Raw genomic sequence first — 16,533 nt, 5'->3', positions numbered from 1 at the left:
GCAGTCATAAAGCAATACCTCAAGAGGCGTTCAGGGAGTAGACTCCAATAAGGAGGCTGGAGCAGAACTTGGCTTATTTCTGAACATGAGAGACAATTCCTGAAAACTAAATTCCTACAACATTAATACTGGTTCTCTAAGAAGCCGGGACTTTTTCAGTAAGTACTCTTCAGAGATAAATAGAAGAAAATTGAAAGATGAGGGTGCTGAGATATGTGAAGGTAGGGCTGGGCACAGTAGCTCATGCCTATAATCCCAGCACTTTGGGAGGCTGAGGTGGGAGGATCACTCAAGGCTAAGAGTTCAAGACAAGCCTAGGCAACATAGTGAGATCCATTTCTAAAAAAAAAAAAAAAAAAAAAAAAAATTAGCCAGGCACAGTGGTGTGGACCTGAGGTCTCAGATACTTGAGAAGCTGAGACTGGAGGATTGCTTGTCCCTAGGAGTTCAAGGCTGTAGCGAGCTATGACTGCGCCACTGCACACCAGCCTGAGCAATAGAGCAAGACCCTATCTCTAAAAAAAAAAGTTGATTAAAAAAAGATAACAAATATGCAGGTGGGAACTTATAAAACAGAGAACAAATACTATGGTTATTATCATCTAATTTGTATGCATAAATTGAAGAATCTGGGATAAGGCAGGATACATGAAAACCTTTTTTTTTAATTTTTATTTTTTGATTGCTCCTTCAGAAGAAAAACTATTAATAGCAATTACCTATAAAGACTGGTCTGAAGAGATCAGCGAATAGGAAGAGACTTTTGTTTTGAGACACAGTCTCGCACTGTCACCCAGGCTGGAGTGCAATGGTGCGATCTCGGCTCACTGCAACCTCCGCTTCCCAGATTCAAGCGATTCTCCTGCCTCAGCCTCCCAAGTAGCTGGGATTATAGGCACTGGCCACCACGCCCCACTAATTTTTGTATTTTTAGTAGAGACTGGGTTTCACCATGTTGGCCAGGTTAGTCTCGAATTCCTGACCTCGTAATCCGCCCACCTCAGCCTCCCAAAGTGTTGGGAGTATAGGCATGAGCCACTGCACCTGGCCTGAGACTTTTTCTTTTTTTTTTTTAAGACAGGGTTTCACTCTGGTGCCCAGGCTGGAGTGCAGTGGCATAGTCACAGCTCACTGCAGCTTCAAACTCCAAAGCTGAAGCAATCTTCCCACCTCAGCCTCTCAAGTAGCTGGGACTACAGGCAGACGCCACCAGGCCAGGCTAATTTTTGTATTTTTTGTAGAGACGGGGTTTCGCCATATTGCCCAGGCTGGTCTTGAACTCCTGAGCTCAAGTGATCCAACCACCTCATCCTCCCAAAGTGCTGGGATTATAGGCGTGAGCCACTGTGCTGGGTCTCAGTAAGTACTCTTCTGTATAATTAGAATTTGTTTCTAATCTTAATAAACATTTACTACTTTTGTAATAATGTACCACTTTTATAATAAAGAATTCATTAATAGAAATAAGCACATTTTACTGCTCGCTTCAGCAGCACATATACTAGAAATAAGCACATTTTAAAAATAGAAGATATATGGCCGGGCGCAGTGACTCATGCCTGTAATCCCAGCACTTTGGGAGGCCAAGGCAGTCGGACCTCAGGTCAGGAGTTCGAGACCAGCTTGACCAATATGGCGAAACCCCGTCTCTACTAAAAATACAAAATTAGCCAGGCGTGGTGGCTCATGCCTGTAATTCCAGCTACTCGGGAGGCCGAGGCAGGAGAATCACTTGAACCCAGGAGGCGGTGGTTGCGGTGAGCTGAGATTGCACCATTGCACTCCAGCCTGGGTAACAAGGGCAAAACTCTCTCAAAAAAAAAAAAAAAGAAATGGAGGGGCTGGGCACAGTGGCTCATGCCTGTAATCCCAGCACTTTGGGAGGCCGAGGCAGGCGGATCACCTGAGGTTGGGAGTTCAAGACCAGCCTGACCAACATGGAGAAACCCTGTCTCTACTATAAATACAAAAATTAGTCGGGCATGGTGGCGTGCACCTGTAATCCCAGCTACTTGGGAGGCTGAGGCAGGAGAATCGTTTGAACCTGGGAGGTAGAGGTTGCGGTGAGCCGAGATCACGCCATCGCACTCCAGCCTGGGCAACAAGAGCAACAAGAGCGAAACTCCATACCGCCCCCCGCCCCCCCGCCCCCAAAAAAAGATATACATGTACTATACCTAAAAGCAAACATGAAAACATTAATACTGGTTTTAATACTGGTTCTCTAAGAAGGCTTCAGGGGTTAAAGAACTAGATAACCATAAAAAATATTCCACTTGAAGAGTGATTCAGTCACATTTTATGAAGCACTATCACATAATTATCTAATTTCATTCTCAAAAACTTGACAATATAGAGAACAATAGCTAAGGCAACAGAATTTGACATTAAGTGTCTTGCCCAGATTGCACAGCTAATAAGCAGCACTGCCCAGCCTCCTAACTTTATATTCTTAAGTCTAGTACTTCCTTCACTATATCCAAAGGTAAATCCAACAACAATTCATTCCCGTTTCCAAGTCTCATATTCATGACTGTGAAATAAATAATTTTCGGTAGAGAATTTGTATTCCTGCTACCAGCAGCACTGTCCACGCACTTCCCCAGATAGCATATACTAAATACTCACGAATTTAATTAAACAGATGATCAGGAAGAATTTACTGCCAACCATTTAAAAATGGATTCCAAAAAGAAACATAAATTATTTAAAACATTATTCACTGATTACATCTTACATTCCATTGCTCCACTCAAATAGTATAAATATTCAGGAGTTGGCTAAAGTTTTACAATGTTTTACAAAGGATCACCTACCTCCCAGACTAGTACACATTTGTTGGTTTTCTTCACAGCTTCCTCATCAGACTCCTCATCATCTGGAAGAGAAATCTTGTTACAGACTTAGACTTGAGATTCAGGTTCTAAACAAATAATATTCAAGTCTACCCAAACTCTCTAAAATATTATCACCCTTTTTATGTGTTGGACCAAGTGTTCTCTTTTCTGTTGCTCTTTATTTTCCCCAAATTAGACTTGAAGCTCCAAGTAGGCAGTAATATTAATTGATACAATTAGCATTTACATAGCACTTGTTATGAATCAAGAGCTCCACCAGGTACTGGGAATAAGGAAATAAAAGACAAGCAGTCAAGAATAAAAACTTGTCCTAGGCACTTTGGGAGGCAGGCTTCATATGTCAACATCATATATTACTCTCAAAAAACTTTCACCCAATGGAGGAGGAGGGCAGATATACCAAATCAAAATTATCGGCCAGCGTGGTGGCTCACGCCTGTAATCCTAGCGCTTTGGGAGGCTGAGGTGAGTGGATCACCTGAGGTCAAGAGTTTGAGACCAGCCTAGCCAACATGGCGAAACCTCATCTCTACTAAAAATACAAAAATTAGCCAGGTGTGGTGGCAGGTGCCTGTAATCCGAGCTTATCAGGAGGCCGAGGCAGGAGAATCACTTGAACCTGGGAGGCGGAGGCTGCAGTGAGCCAAGATGGTGCCACTGCACTCCAGCCTGGGCAAAAGAGCAAAGACTCCATCTCAAAAAAAAAAAAAAAAAAATGCACGTGTAGAACAAAATATTTTTTATTCTCAGGTATCTTAAGATGAACTCTCTGCAGATTTTATTTATATTTTTATTTTTTTGAGACGGAGTCTTGCTCTGTCACTCAGGCTGGAGTGAAGTGGTATGATCTCAGCTCACTGCAACCGCTTCCTGGGTTCAAGTGATTCTCCTGCCTAGGCCTCCCGAGTAGCTGGGATTACAGGCGCACGCTGCCACGCCCAGCTCATTTTTGTATTTTTTAGTAGAGACGGGGTTTCACCATGTCAGGCTGGTCTCAAACTCCTGACCTCAGGTGATCCACCCGCCTCGGCCTCCCAAAGTGCTGGGATTACAGGCATAAGCCATCACACCAGGCCTCTCTGCAGATTTTAAATGCTAATCCAGGTGTTCAAAGATGAGAAGAATGAACACTAATGGGAGTATGATGGCCAGAAGAATGTCTGGCCTTCAAATATAGACAGACAGTCCTTGACTTACAATTTTTTGCCTTGAGTATAGTGTGAAAGTGATAAATATTTAGTAGAAAATGTACTTCAAATTTTAAATTTTGAGATTTTCCTGGGCTAGCAATATGCAGTAAAATACTCTTACATGAGATAAAAATAGGCTTTGTGTTAGATGATTTTGCCCAACTGTAGGCTAATCTAAGTATTCTGAGAAAGTATAAGGAAGGCTAGGCTGTTATGATGTCCTGTAGGTCAGATGTATTAAATGCATTTTTTTTTTTTTGAGATGGAGTCTTGCTCTGTCGCTTAGGCTGCAGTGCAGTGGTGCGATCACAGCTTACTGCAACCTCCGCCTGCCAGGTTCAAGCGATTCTCCTGCCTCAGCCTCCCGAGTAGCTGGGATTACAGAGGTCCACCACCACGCCCCGAATTTTTGTGTTTTCAGTAGAGACGGGGTTTCACCATGTTGGCCAGGCTGTTACGAACTCCTGACCTCAAATGATCTGCTCGCCTCGGCCTCCCAAAGTGCTCAGATTATAAGTGTGAGCCACCGTGCCTGGCCTTAAATGCATTTTTGACTTAACAATATTTTCAATTTATCTCAGGTTTATTGGAACTAACCCCATCATTAAGTTGAAGAGCATATGTGTGAGTATGTACATGTACATGTATGTGTGTGTATTGTGTGTATGTGTATGTGTGTGTACATGTGTGTATGTATGTGTGTGTGTGTGTATGTATGTGTATGTGTGTATATATATATATCAGACAAAAGAAATAGTTTGATCAAAGCAGAGCTTTTTTGACCTGAAGATCTTTTTGGCTTCAATCCTTAAAAAAAAAAAAATCAAATAATAATATAATATAGACACTGTACACATGAATGTATAGCTTACTAGATTTGCTTTTTCTTTTTTTTGAGACAGGGTCTCATTCTGTCACCCAGGCTGGATTGCAGTGGCACGATCACAGCTTACTGCAGCCTCGACCTCCCCAAGCTCAAGTGATCCTCCCACCTCAGCTTCCTGAGTAGCTGGGAATACAGGTGTGTGCCACCACATCCAGCTAATTTTTGTACTTTTTGTAGATATGGGGTTTCACCACGTTGTTTGCCCAGGCTGGTCTCGAACTCCTGGCCTCAGGCAATCTGCCCGCCTCAGCCTCCCAAAGTGCTAGGATTACAGGCATGAGCCACCATGCCTAGCTGCTTGCTGAATTTTCAAATACTGAATAAATTCATGTAACCGGTACTCAGATCCAGGACAGACACAGAAACCAGCTGGTAGAAAAGCCTTAAATGATAGGCAAAAAAATAGCTTTACCATTCATGCATATAATCATGTAGTAAATATTGTATGAATGTCTAGGAGGCTCAAAGTCTAAACGGGTCTTTCTAAAATTCCTGAACACTATCTAGTGTTATCAAGAGTGTCACAGGGAGGAAATAAGATGAACGGACAGATGCACCATCCCCACCTCCCATAGCTCTCCCCCTTAATCCCCTCTAACCCCCATTCACCATCTCCCTTTGTGTTAGATGTCTGTTCATCCCACTTTATCCGATGCAGCATAAGACGCTTAAATTTCTTCTGGGCCTTGGGGCCTGGAAACAGAGAAGAATAATTTTGCCAGAACTGTGGAAGATGATGGGGTAGAAAGAACCTCTGAGCTCAGACATTAATGTGGTAGTTGAAGCAATCTCAGGAACCACATCTTAGGGCCTTCTACTCCAAAAAACACAGAAGCAGAGACCTAGCATATTATATCAGGTATGGCACTAAAATACGATCTTTTTCTCCTTTCTCCCCACAATGCTAATCACTCTAAGCCTAGGGTTGTCTGGGGACAGTCTCCCTCAAGTTTTTCAGACTCACCCCCTTCCACTACTACCACGTTGACATCCTTGTGCAGTACCACCACCCCTGTCAGGTACAGTTGCCCAGCATTGGCTTCAATCTTGAACTTCTTGGCTGGGTTGCTCAAATTTCGAACTCTGGAGAAGGGAAAGTTTAGTTATGTCTTCCATTTTAGCATCAGCAGCTGCCTGAATGGAGTGGCAAGTAAAAAGATGAATCCAAAATGGTTTCCTCTCTATAAACAAAGGCCTCTGGAGTAAACAAATAGATGAATGCTTAAAAGGTAGAGTTGATGAGTCTAGAAATATTTCCACACTCTTACATTTCTTCAAAGTCTAGCACTTTACATTAACCATTACATTACTAACCAAAGTTTACTCTAAGAGTCAGGGAGAGGTATTTACTATCATCCAAAAATACTTACAATCTCATTGTTCTTGACAATGTAAAGACCTACAGACTTTTTGTCCTCTAGACCCTTAGACTCTTATAATATAGGATTACTTGGCTGGGTGCGGTGGCTCATGCCTGTAATCCCAGCACTTTGGGAGGCCAAAGTGGGCAGATCACGAGGTCAGGAGTTTAAGACCAGCCTGGCCAACATGGTGAAACCCCATCTCTACTAAAAATACAAAAATTAGCCGGGCGTGGGGGTGCGTGCCTGTAATCCTAGCTACTCAGGAGGCTGAGGCAGGAGAATTGCTTGAACTTGGGAGGCAGAGGTTGCAGTGCGCTGAGATCGCGCCATTGCACTCCTGCCTGGGCAACAAGACTGAAACTCCGTCTCAAAATAAATAAATAAATAAATAAAATATATATATAGGATCACTATATAGGCATGAAAATTTTCTAGGAGGATATGTGAAAAACTGTTAATAGCAATTACCTAAAGAGAGTGGTTCTAAGGGATCAGAGAATAGAAAGGAGACATTTTGAGTAAGTATTCTTCTGTGTTGTCAGACAATTTTTTAAATCTTAATAAGCATTCACTATTTTTGTGATAATGTACCACTTTTATAATAAAGAACTAGTTAATAGAAATAAGCACATTTTAAAAATAGAAGATACACATGTACTCAACATAAAAGAATAAAAACATTAAATCAACACAAAGGTAGAAAAATATTTACAACATATAAAATGCATTTTGGAGTGAGGATGAAACACAGCAATACATCAGGGTAAGGATATGACTACGGAGGAAAGAAAATTTGTAATGCTTCCATGGATGTTGGAAGCAAACTCAGACCATTTAAAAAAAAAAAGATGAAAAAAAAAAGAAATAGGATGATATTTTATAGTTCTCAAAGGACATACAATCTTTAGTTCACATCTTGGCCTGAACAAGTATATTGACTTGTTCAGAACTAATATTCTGGTAAAAAAAAAAAGAAGACTTGAGAGGGAAGAACTGGGTAACCATAAACATAAGTCATTAACTCTCGCTATTTTACAAGATTTACTAGCTCTTGATCCACACTAGGGTCATTAAAAGAGAGTAGGAACTGGTGTTAGGTATGCTTTTAGGCCACAATGATTCTGCCTCAAGCACTTGGAAAATGTTTTAGTAATTCTAAGGGGAAGTTTGGCCCAGTATGGACACCTACCTATATACAGATATGTGTACCCCCTGTGAAATGTCTTCTTTAAGCTTTTTAATTTTCTTGACCTTTCTCTGTTCTGCTGTGAGTTTTCGGGCAGCGTTGGCCTCTTCATGCGCTCTGTCGTGACAGGAAGGACATCCACAAGTGAGAAAGGCATTGAAGATCAGAGGCAGGGCTGAGGGAAAGAGAGAGCAACGGAGAACTCTCCCCTCCCTCCAAATATGGACCCCCCAGAAGAGTTTGGGAAAGGTACTTGCCCGAGGTTTCCACCCAATCCCATGGCACTTACTTCTGTCTTTTTGCCATCTGAGCTCTGACGTGGGCTTCTACCTTCGTGGGGTCTTGAACAGCTTCTGTTCCTAATACTCGCATCAAATTAGAAATTCTCACTGCAGTGAAGAGAGGACAACAATCAGTCTTTGAAGTCACTTCTCCAGCTGGAGTAACTTGTTATTTCTTCCATACCAATTCATATTATTTACCTATTTCAAATCTCTGCTCTAAACTCACTTCCTCCAATAACTCCTATCTTGAAAATCCCATCCAATCACTTCAGCATTTGCAGAAGTTCACACAATTAAGTTGAAGATTGGTATGCATTTACATTATCTGAAAATTTATGAAGGACGTGGAACTTAATTCCTTTCATATTTTTCACACTGATCACAGCATCTAGTGAAAGAGCTTATAAATAATAGTGCTCAGTCAAAATACTGCTGAACGAGAATGTAACTACAGGGTCAAGTTTTTTATCCTGTACTTTCATTGTAAAAATTAAAACATTAAGAATTATGTACATAAAAAGTCTACGCAAATACTGCAACTACTATCTCCATGAATTTCAAGACCTGTATTCTTCCAGGAAAACCAGAGTGTTGTATGATCAGTATGCTTAAAAATAAGCCATAAATGGCCTCTATAATGAATGTGTTGACCTATCTTAATATGAAAAGATGGTAGAAAACTTGGAGAAAAAGGACCCCAAGAATAATTCTTAGAAACAGAAATCACTCAAACACAGAGATGTTAAAGTTCCTCCAGGATTAAAGACATAAACTTGCCACTCTTTTTAACAGAAGAGGCCACTGAGAAATGCACCTTTGGGTTCTGGAGGAGGCATCAGGCCCAGCCTGACTTTTTCTTGTAGTTCCTTCTGTGCTTCCCTCCTTGTTTGTCTCCGAAGTTTTTTCTGTTCCTTCTTGGTAAGATATACTCCCAGAGTAACTGGTGTGTCATTGTCAACTGTCAGGCAGAGATATTAGTATACCAAAGCAGTAAGAATACATATATATATATATATATTTTTTTTTTTTCTCTCTCTCACTCTGTCACCCAGGTTGGAGTGCAATGGCACGATCTCAGCTCACTGTAGCCTCTGCCTCCTGGGTTCAAGTAATTCTCCTGCCTCAGCCTCCCGAGTAGCTAGGATTACAGGCACACGCCACCATGCCTGGCTAATGTTTGTATTTTTAGTAGAGATGGGGTTTCACCATGTTGGCCAGGCATGAGCCACCAGGCCCGGACAGCAATAAAAATATTAAAGAAACCTAGGTAAATATCAATATCATTAAAAGAAACTTTAGGCTGGACACAGTGGCTTATGCCTGTAATTCTAGCACTTTGATAGGCCAAGGTGGGAGGATGGCGTGAGCCCAAGAGTTCGAGACCAGCCTGGACAACCAAGTGAGACCCAACTCTATTATAAACATTTTATGTAAAAAATATATTGAGGCCAGGTGCGGTGGATCACACCTGTAATCCCAGCACTTTGGGAGGCACGGGTGGGCAGATCACGAGGTCAAGAGATCGAGACCAGCCTGGCCAACATGGTGAAACCCTGACTCCACTAAAAATACAAAAATTAGCTGGGCGTGGTGGCACGCACCTGTAGTCCCAGCTACTCGGGAGGCTGAGGCAGGAGAATCACTTGAATCCGGGAGGTGGAGGTTGCAGTGAGCCGAGATTGTGCCACTTGCCACTGCACTCTAGCCTGGCAACACAGCGAGACTCCATTTCAAAAAACATGTGTGTGTGTGTGTGTGTGTATAAACTTTAAATAGAAAATGAAGAAAACTCGTTAATAAGGGATCAGTAAGATTAAAATCAGTTCAGGCCTGGTGCCCGGCAATATGGCTATGTTTTTAAAAAACATTCTTATCTTTCCTTTTGTTGAGACGGAGTCTCGCTCTGCTGCCCAGGCTGGAGTGCAGTGGCGCAATCTCAGCTCACTGCAAGCTCTGCCTCCTGGGTTCACACCATTCTCCTGCCTCAGCCTCCTGAGTAGCTGGGACTACAGGCACCCGCCACCACGTCTGGCTAATTTTTGTATTTTTAGTAGAGACGGGGTTTCACCTTGTTAGCCAGGATGGTGTTGATTTCTTGACCTCGTGATCTGCCCGCCTCGGCCTCCCAAAGTGCTGGGATTACAGGCATGAGCCACCTCGCCTGGCCTCTTATCTTTCTTAAGTAGTGTTCTTAGTTGTTTTCCTTTAAGCTGTTAAACCCCCTCATTCAATGATACCTGGCAAATGTAGAAAACAAAATTAGGGCCAGGTGCGGTGGCTCACGCCGGTAAACCCAGCACTTTGGGAAGCCTAGGTGGGCAGATCACTTGAGGTCAGGAGTTCAAGACAAGCATGACCAACATGGCAAAACCCTGTCTCTACTAAAAGTTCAAAAACTAGCCAGGTGTGGTGGCAGGCACCTATAATCCAAGCTACTCCGGAGGCTAAGGCCGGAGAATAGCTTCAACCCAGGGGGGTGAAAGTTGCAGTGAACGGAGATAGTGCCATTGCACTCCAGCCTGGGTGACAAAAGCGAAACTCCAACTCAAAAAAAAAAAAAAGGCCGGGCGCGGTGGCTCACACCTATAATCCCAGCACTTTGGGAGGCCAAGGCTGGCAGATCACCTGAGGTCAGGAGTTCAAGACCAGCCTGACCAAACATGGTGAAACCCTGTCTCTACTAAAAATACAAAATTAGCTGGGCGTGGTGGCACATGCCTGTAATCCCAGCTACTCAGGAGGCTGAGGCAGGAGAATTGCTTGAACCCAGGAGGCAGAGGTTGTGGTGAGCTGAGATCATGCCGTTGCACTGCAGCCTGGACCACAAGAGCGAAACTCCTCCTCAAAAAAAAAAAAAAAAAAAAAATAGAAGCAACTTTGTTTCCCAGTTTCAACTTTGGGAAACTAACAAAAAGCCCTTTGGAATTAGCATCCCTCACAGTGGGTAGTGGAGCATATCGCATCTAATAACACACCAACCCAAGAGTTTGGCTCTTGCATTTGCATTTAGCTGTGGATGCCACAACAACATGTGGTTCTATAAAAGGAGCAAGCTGAGGGCTCTTTCCTAGGAACAACCAGGGAACTGTAAATGTAAAGCTTCATGAAATTTTGGGTTTTTTTCTTTCTTTCTTTCTTCTTTTTTTTTTTTTTTTTTTTTTGAGACAAGGTCTGGCAGTATCATCCAGGCTGGAGTGCAGCAGCACCATCTCAGCTCACTGCAACTTCCACCTCCCAGGCTCAAGCCATCCTCCACACCTCAGCCTCCCAAGAGGCTGGGACTACAGATGCACACCACCATGCCCGGCTGATTTTTTATTTTTTGTAGAGATGGGGTTTTGCCATGTTGCCTAGATCTCGAACTCCTGAGCTCAAGCAATCTGCCCACCTCAGCCTCCCAAAGTGCAGTGATTACAGGCATAAGCCACCATACCCAGCCAAATTTTTTTTCCTTGAGATGGGTCTCACTGTGTTGCCCAGACTGGTCTTGAATTCTTGGCCTCAAGCAATCCTCCTGCCTTGGCCTCCGAAAGTGTTTGGATTAGAGGCATGAGCCACCATGCTTGGCTGTCTCATGAAATTCTAAGCACAGGAATATGCACTTAAAATGTATGTTCACTGGTCAAACAACAAACTATTGTCAGGAAAAAAACTGAATTAAAAAAAAGAATTACACATGGGTAGTGGCTATTGTATTGAACAGCATAGATACAGAACATGTTCCTCACTGTATAAATTTCCAATGGGTAATGCTGCTCTAGAGACTTGATTCAGGAATCTATACATTACCTGGAGGATTGAGCTGGGCTGGATGTTCAACAAGATTTGTGATTCCAAAATAATCTTCTCTCTTGGGATTTTCCTCTGTACTAAAATTGTAGGAAGAAAAGAAAACACGATATGCGGGTAGAGATGATTCTAAGAGAGGAGTCTCAGAAATACAATGAAAAAACCCACTCTCTATAATGGGTTCTTGTGCTTGATATACCTAAAATAGCATTTAGGTACCTAAAATATATAGTTAAATTACACATAATTTTCATGATGAGAAAACTGAGTCCCTCTATGGTTGAACACACTCTCCACAGCAATCATTCTCAACCTTTTTTCTACCATGCCACAGCTGACAGACGCTATGTTCTCTCATTAGTGACAATAAGTCCCTGGAACAGTGGCTGACAAAGAAGGGGCAACGAAAGGCTAAGACAAAATCTACTAAAGCCATGTATCAGAATGATGGAGCAGGGCCAGGTGATGTGGCTTATGCCTATAATCCCAGCACTTTGGGAGATGAAGGCAGGTGGATCACCTGAGGTCAGGAGTTTGAGACCAGTTTGGCCAAATAGTGAAACTCTTGTCTACTAAAAATATAAAAACTGGCCAGGTGTGGTGGTATTTGCCTGTAGTCCCGGATACTTATGAGGCTGAGCTAGAAGAACTGCTTCAACCCAGGAGACAGAGGTTGCAGCGAGCCGAGATTGTGCAACAGAGTGAGACTCTGTCTTAAAAAAAAAAAAAAAAAAAAAAAACGCCAGGCGTGGTGGCTCATGCCTGTAATCCCAGCCCTTTGGGAGGCTGAGGCGGGTGGATCACCTGAGGTCGGGAATTTGGGACCAGCCTGACCAACATGGAGAAACCTCGTCTCTACTAAAAACACCAAAAATTAGCCAGGCGTGGTGGTGCATGCCTATAATCTCAGCTACTTGGGAGGCTGAGGCAGGAGAATCACTTGAACCCAGGAGGCGGAGGCTGTGGTGAACCAAGATTGCTCCACTGCACTCCAGCCTGGGCAACAAGAGCGAAACTCCGTCTCAGGAAAAAAAAAAAAAAAATGGATGGAGCAGATATATTTAAAGCTCTTCAAATGTGTCTTATATCCTTTTTTTTTTTGAGACAGAGTTTCACCCTGTTGTCCAGGATAGAGTGCAGTGGTCATGATCATAGCTGACTGCAGCACAGACCCTCCTGGGCTCAAGTGATTCTCTCACATCAGCCTCCTGGGTAGCCAGGACTACAGGCACAAGCCACCATGCCCAGCTACTTTTTTTTTTTTTTTAATCTTTGTAGAAACGAGGTCTCACCATATTGCCCAAGCTGGTCTTTAACTCCTGGGCTCAAGCAATCCTTCAGCCCTCAGCCTCCCAAAGTGCTGGAATAACAGGTGTCAGCCACCGAGCCCAGCCTTATATGCTATATTTACTATTATCTCACCTACCAACTAATAATCCTTGCTCTATCACAATGAGATCTTTAGGAAATGTAAACACCTATAATACGTAGCAAAAGAATGTAATTAAGGAAAATAATGCTAAAAACAGGCAACAATGTGTAACAGAGCAAAAAGAATTCTAGACTTTGCTTTTGTAGATTGTGTCCCTGGTTATCCTACATTAACCCCAAAAGCTAAAAACAGCCTATATATATGATACATCACTTACAAATGCAGGAGCTTGGCCAGGTGCAGTGGCTCACGCCTGTAATCCCAGCACTTTGGGAGGCTAAGGTGGGCGGATCACCTGAGGTCAGGAGTTCGAGACCAGCCTGGCCAACATGGCAAAACCCTGTCTCTATCAAAAATACAAAAAGCAGATGGGCATGGTGGCACACACCTGTAGTCCCAGCTACTTGAGGGGCTGAGATTCAAGGAGAATTCAAGGAGAATCTCTTGAACCCGGGAGGTGGAGGTTGCAGTGAGCTGAGATCGTGCCACTGCACTCCAGCCTGGGTGACAGAGCGAGACTCCCTCTCAAAAAAAAAAAAAAAAAAAATAACAGGACCTTGTGTACAGTTACTTATCTCTCTTGGATTTAAAAATTTTAATTAATGAATGAGTACCATCCTTCCCACTAAAACCATAGCTTTACTAAAAGGTATTAACTTGAGTCTTAAACTCAGCTGATTAAAAACTGTTTTTTTAAAAAGGTACTAAAACAAACTCACAGATCAAAGCCATTGGGGATTATGTAAGAGTCCCACCACTCAATTTCAGGAATATCTCCTTCCTTTAGCTCCTTCTTAGGAGCAATGAGGGCAAGCCTAGTCGAAGTATGGATGCCTGTTTTTCGAGCTGCTTGTGAAATCTCTGCCTGTAGCTTCTCCAGTTGAGCCTAAAAACAAGATAATCCAAGACAGAAAGATAAATTGGAGTCATAGAAAACAGAATGTGTAGAATCTCAATTTTTTTTTTTTTTTGAGACGGAGTTTCGTTCTTCTTGCCCAGGCTGGAGTGCAATGGCATGGTCTTGGCTAACAGCAACCTCTACCTTCCAGGTTTAAGCGATTCTCCTGCCTAAGCCTCCTCAGTAGCTGGGATTACAGGCATGTGCCACCACCCTCAGCTAATTTTGTATTTTTAGTAGAGATGGGGTTTCTCCACGTTGCTCAGCCTGGTCTCAAACTCCCGACCTCAGGTGATCTGCCCGCCTCGGCCTCCCAAAGTGATGGGATTACAGGCATGAGCCACTGTGCCCGGCCAGAATCCCAAATATTTTTTTTTTTTTTTGTAGACGGAGTCTCACTCTGTCACCCAGGCTGCAGTGCAGTGCAGTGTAAGCTCCACCTCCCGGGTTCACGCCATTCTCCTGACTCAGCCTCCCGAGTAGCTGGGACTACAGGCGCCCATCACCACGCCCGGCTCATTTTTTTGTATTTTTAGTAGAGAAGTGGTTTCACCATGTTAGCCAGGATGGTCTCGATCTCCTGACCTAGTGATTCGCCCACCTCGGCCAAGAATCCCAAATTTTAAAACACTTCCCCGTTGAACTCTTTACACCTAACGCAACAAGTTCATAATTTCTGAAAGCTTAGAAAGGAGTTGTTCTGCTTTATTTTATCCTTTATTTAGTTCATATACATAGATCTCACCTTCAACCCCTCCCTGCACTCCACAGTATATGCCTGCAGTAAATACGCAGAAATAGAATTTTATGGCCGGGTGTGGTGGCTCACGCCTGTAATCCCAGCACTTTGAGAGGCCGAGGCGGGAGGATCATGAGGTCAGGAGATCGAGACCATCCTGGCTAACACGGTGAAACCCCGTCTCTACTAAAAATACAAAAAAATTAGCCGGGCGTGGTGGCGGGCGCCTATAGTCCCAGCTACTCAGCAGGCTGAGGCAGGAGAATGGCATGAACCTGGAAGGCGGAGCTTTCAGTGAGCTGAGATCGTGCCACTGCACTGCAGCCTGGGTGACAGAGCGAGACTCCGTCTCAAAAAAAAAAAAAAAAGGAATTTTATGAAAACCTCACTTTGAGAGGATAAAAAGGCGGCAAAGGTCATTCAATATACAATCAATTCAACTCTCCAGGTGTACTGTCTCATTAAATTTTAACTACAGGCAAGCCTTCCTTAGTCACTCAGAATGTTTCAAATTGTTTCCCTCCACTTAGTTGTATGTGGAGAATTTTCAAACTCAATTTCATAATATTTCCACTTATGTAGAAACGAATTAGGAAGTAAAATCTGCTAAAAAAATTATGTATTATATTAATAAATATATATATATATTTTTTGAGACGGAGTTTCGCTCTTTTGCCCATGCTGGAGTGCAGTGGTGCGATCTCAGCTCACTGCAACCTCTGCCTTCCAGTTTCAAGTGATTCTCCTGACTCAGCCTCCCAAGTAGCTAGGATTACAGGCACCCACCACCACGCTCGGTTAATTTTTGTACTTTTAGTAGAGACGGGGTTTCACCATGTTGGGCAGGCTGGTCTTGAACTCCTGACCTCGTGATCCACCCACCTCGGCCTCCCAAAGCGCTGGGATTACAGGCTTGAGCCATCTTGTCCAGCACATTTTTCAAAGTATTCATTGCTTTAAATCAGGGGTCCCCAACCCAACAGTCTTTTAGGAACTGGGCTGCACAACAGGAGGTGAGCAGCAGGCAAGCCAACAGTCTCATCTGTACTTACGATTGCTCCCTATTACCTGCATTATGGCCTGAGCTCCACCTCCTGTCAGATCATCGGTGGCATGAGATTCTCAGAGGAGCGCGAACCCTATTGTGAACTGTACATGTGAGGGGGCTATGTTGCACATTCCTTATGAGAATCTAATGCCTGATGATCTGTCACTGTCTCCCATCACACCCAAATGGGACCATTTCAGCAGGAAAACAAGCTCAAGGCTCCCAGTGATTTTATATTATGGTGAGTTATATAATTATTTCATCATATATTACAATAAAATAATAATAGAAATAGGCCAGCACAGTGGCTCACGCCTATAATCCCAGCACTTTGGGAGGTCAAGGCAGGCAGATCACAAGGTCAGGAGTTTAAGACCAGCCGGGCCAACATAGTGAAACCCTGTCTCTACTAAAAATACAAAAAATTCGTCAGGCATGGCGGCGCATGCCTGCAGTCCCAGCTACTCAGGAGGCTGAGGCAGGAGAATTGCTTGAACCCAGGAGGCAGAGGTTGCAGTGAGCTGAGACTGTACCACTGCACTCCAGCCCAGGTAACAGTGCAAGACTCCATCCCCCTCCCCGCCCAAAAAAAAAAAAGGCGGGGGCGGTGGCTCACGCCTGTAATCCCAGCACTTTGGGAGGACAAAGTGGGCAGATCACCTGAGGTCAGGAGTTCGAGACCAGCCTGACCAACACGGAGAAACCCCGTCTCCACCAAAAATACAAAATTAGCCAGGCGTGGTGGCACATGCCTGTGATCCCAGCTACTCGGGAGGCTGAGGCAGGAGAATCACTTGAACCTGGGAGGCAAAGGTTGCAGCAAGCCGAGATCGCCCCATTGCACTCCAGCCTGGGCAAC

The 16,533-nt window shown here is 43.6% G+C and overlaps 1 protein-coding gene across 14 annotated transcripts in view; it reads right to left on the bottom strand.

The window, feature by feature from the left end:
- Positions 1 to 16,533, bottom strand: part of PRPF3 (pre-mRNA processing factor 3) — a 31,766-nt gene that overhangs the window by 1,199 nt on the left and 14,034 nt on the right. For 4 of the 14 annotated variants that reach the window (NM_001350529.1, XM_047433995.1, NM_004698.4 and 1 more), the window contains 8 exons: positions 13,709 to 13,875; positions 11,558 to 11,637; positions 8,583 to 8,726; positions 7,774 to 7,873; positions 7,488 to 7,601; positions 5,899 to 6,017; positions 5,544 to 5,627; positions 2,817 to 2,878 (listed from right to left, as the gene is read on the bottom strand). In NM_001350529.1, coding sequence (NP_001337458.1) covers positions 2,817 to 2,878; positions 5,544 to 5,627; positions 5,899 to 6,017; positions 7,488 to 7,601; positions 7,774 to 7,873; positions 8,583 to 8,726; positions 11,558 to 11,637; positions 13,709 to 13,875 — 870 coding nt within the window. Of the gene's footprint in view, positions 1 to 2,816; positions 2,879 to 5,533; positions 5,628 to 5,898; positions 6,018 to 7,487; positions 7,660 to 7,773; positions 7,874 to 8,582; positions 8,727 to 9,882; positions 10,006 to 11,557; positions 11,638 to 13,708; positions 13,876 to 16,533 lie in introns of those variants that run through there. The other 10 variants (NR_146767.1, NR_146766.1, NR_146768.1 and 7 more) reach the window with 9 other exon arrangements.

This window comes from Homo sapiens, chromosome 1 (genome assembly GCF_000001405.40).
Source record: "Homo sapiens chromosome 1, GRCh38.p14 Primary Assembly".
NCBI lineage: Eukaryota > Metazoa > Chordata > Mammalia > Primates > Hominidae > Homo > Homo sapiens.
Note: the sequence above shows the minus strand (reverse complement) of the source record. Positions and strands in the feature narration are given on the sequence as shown.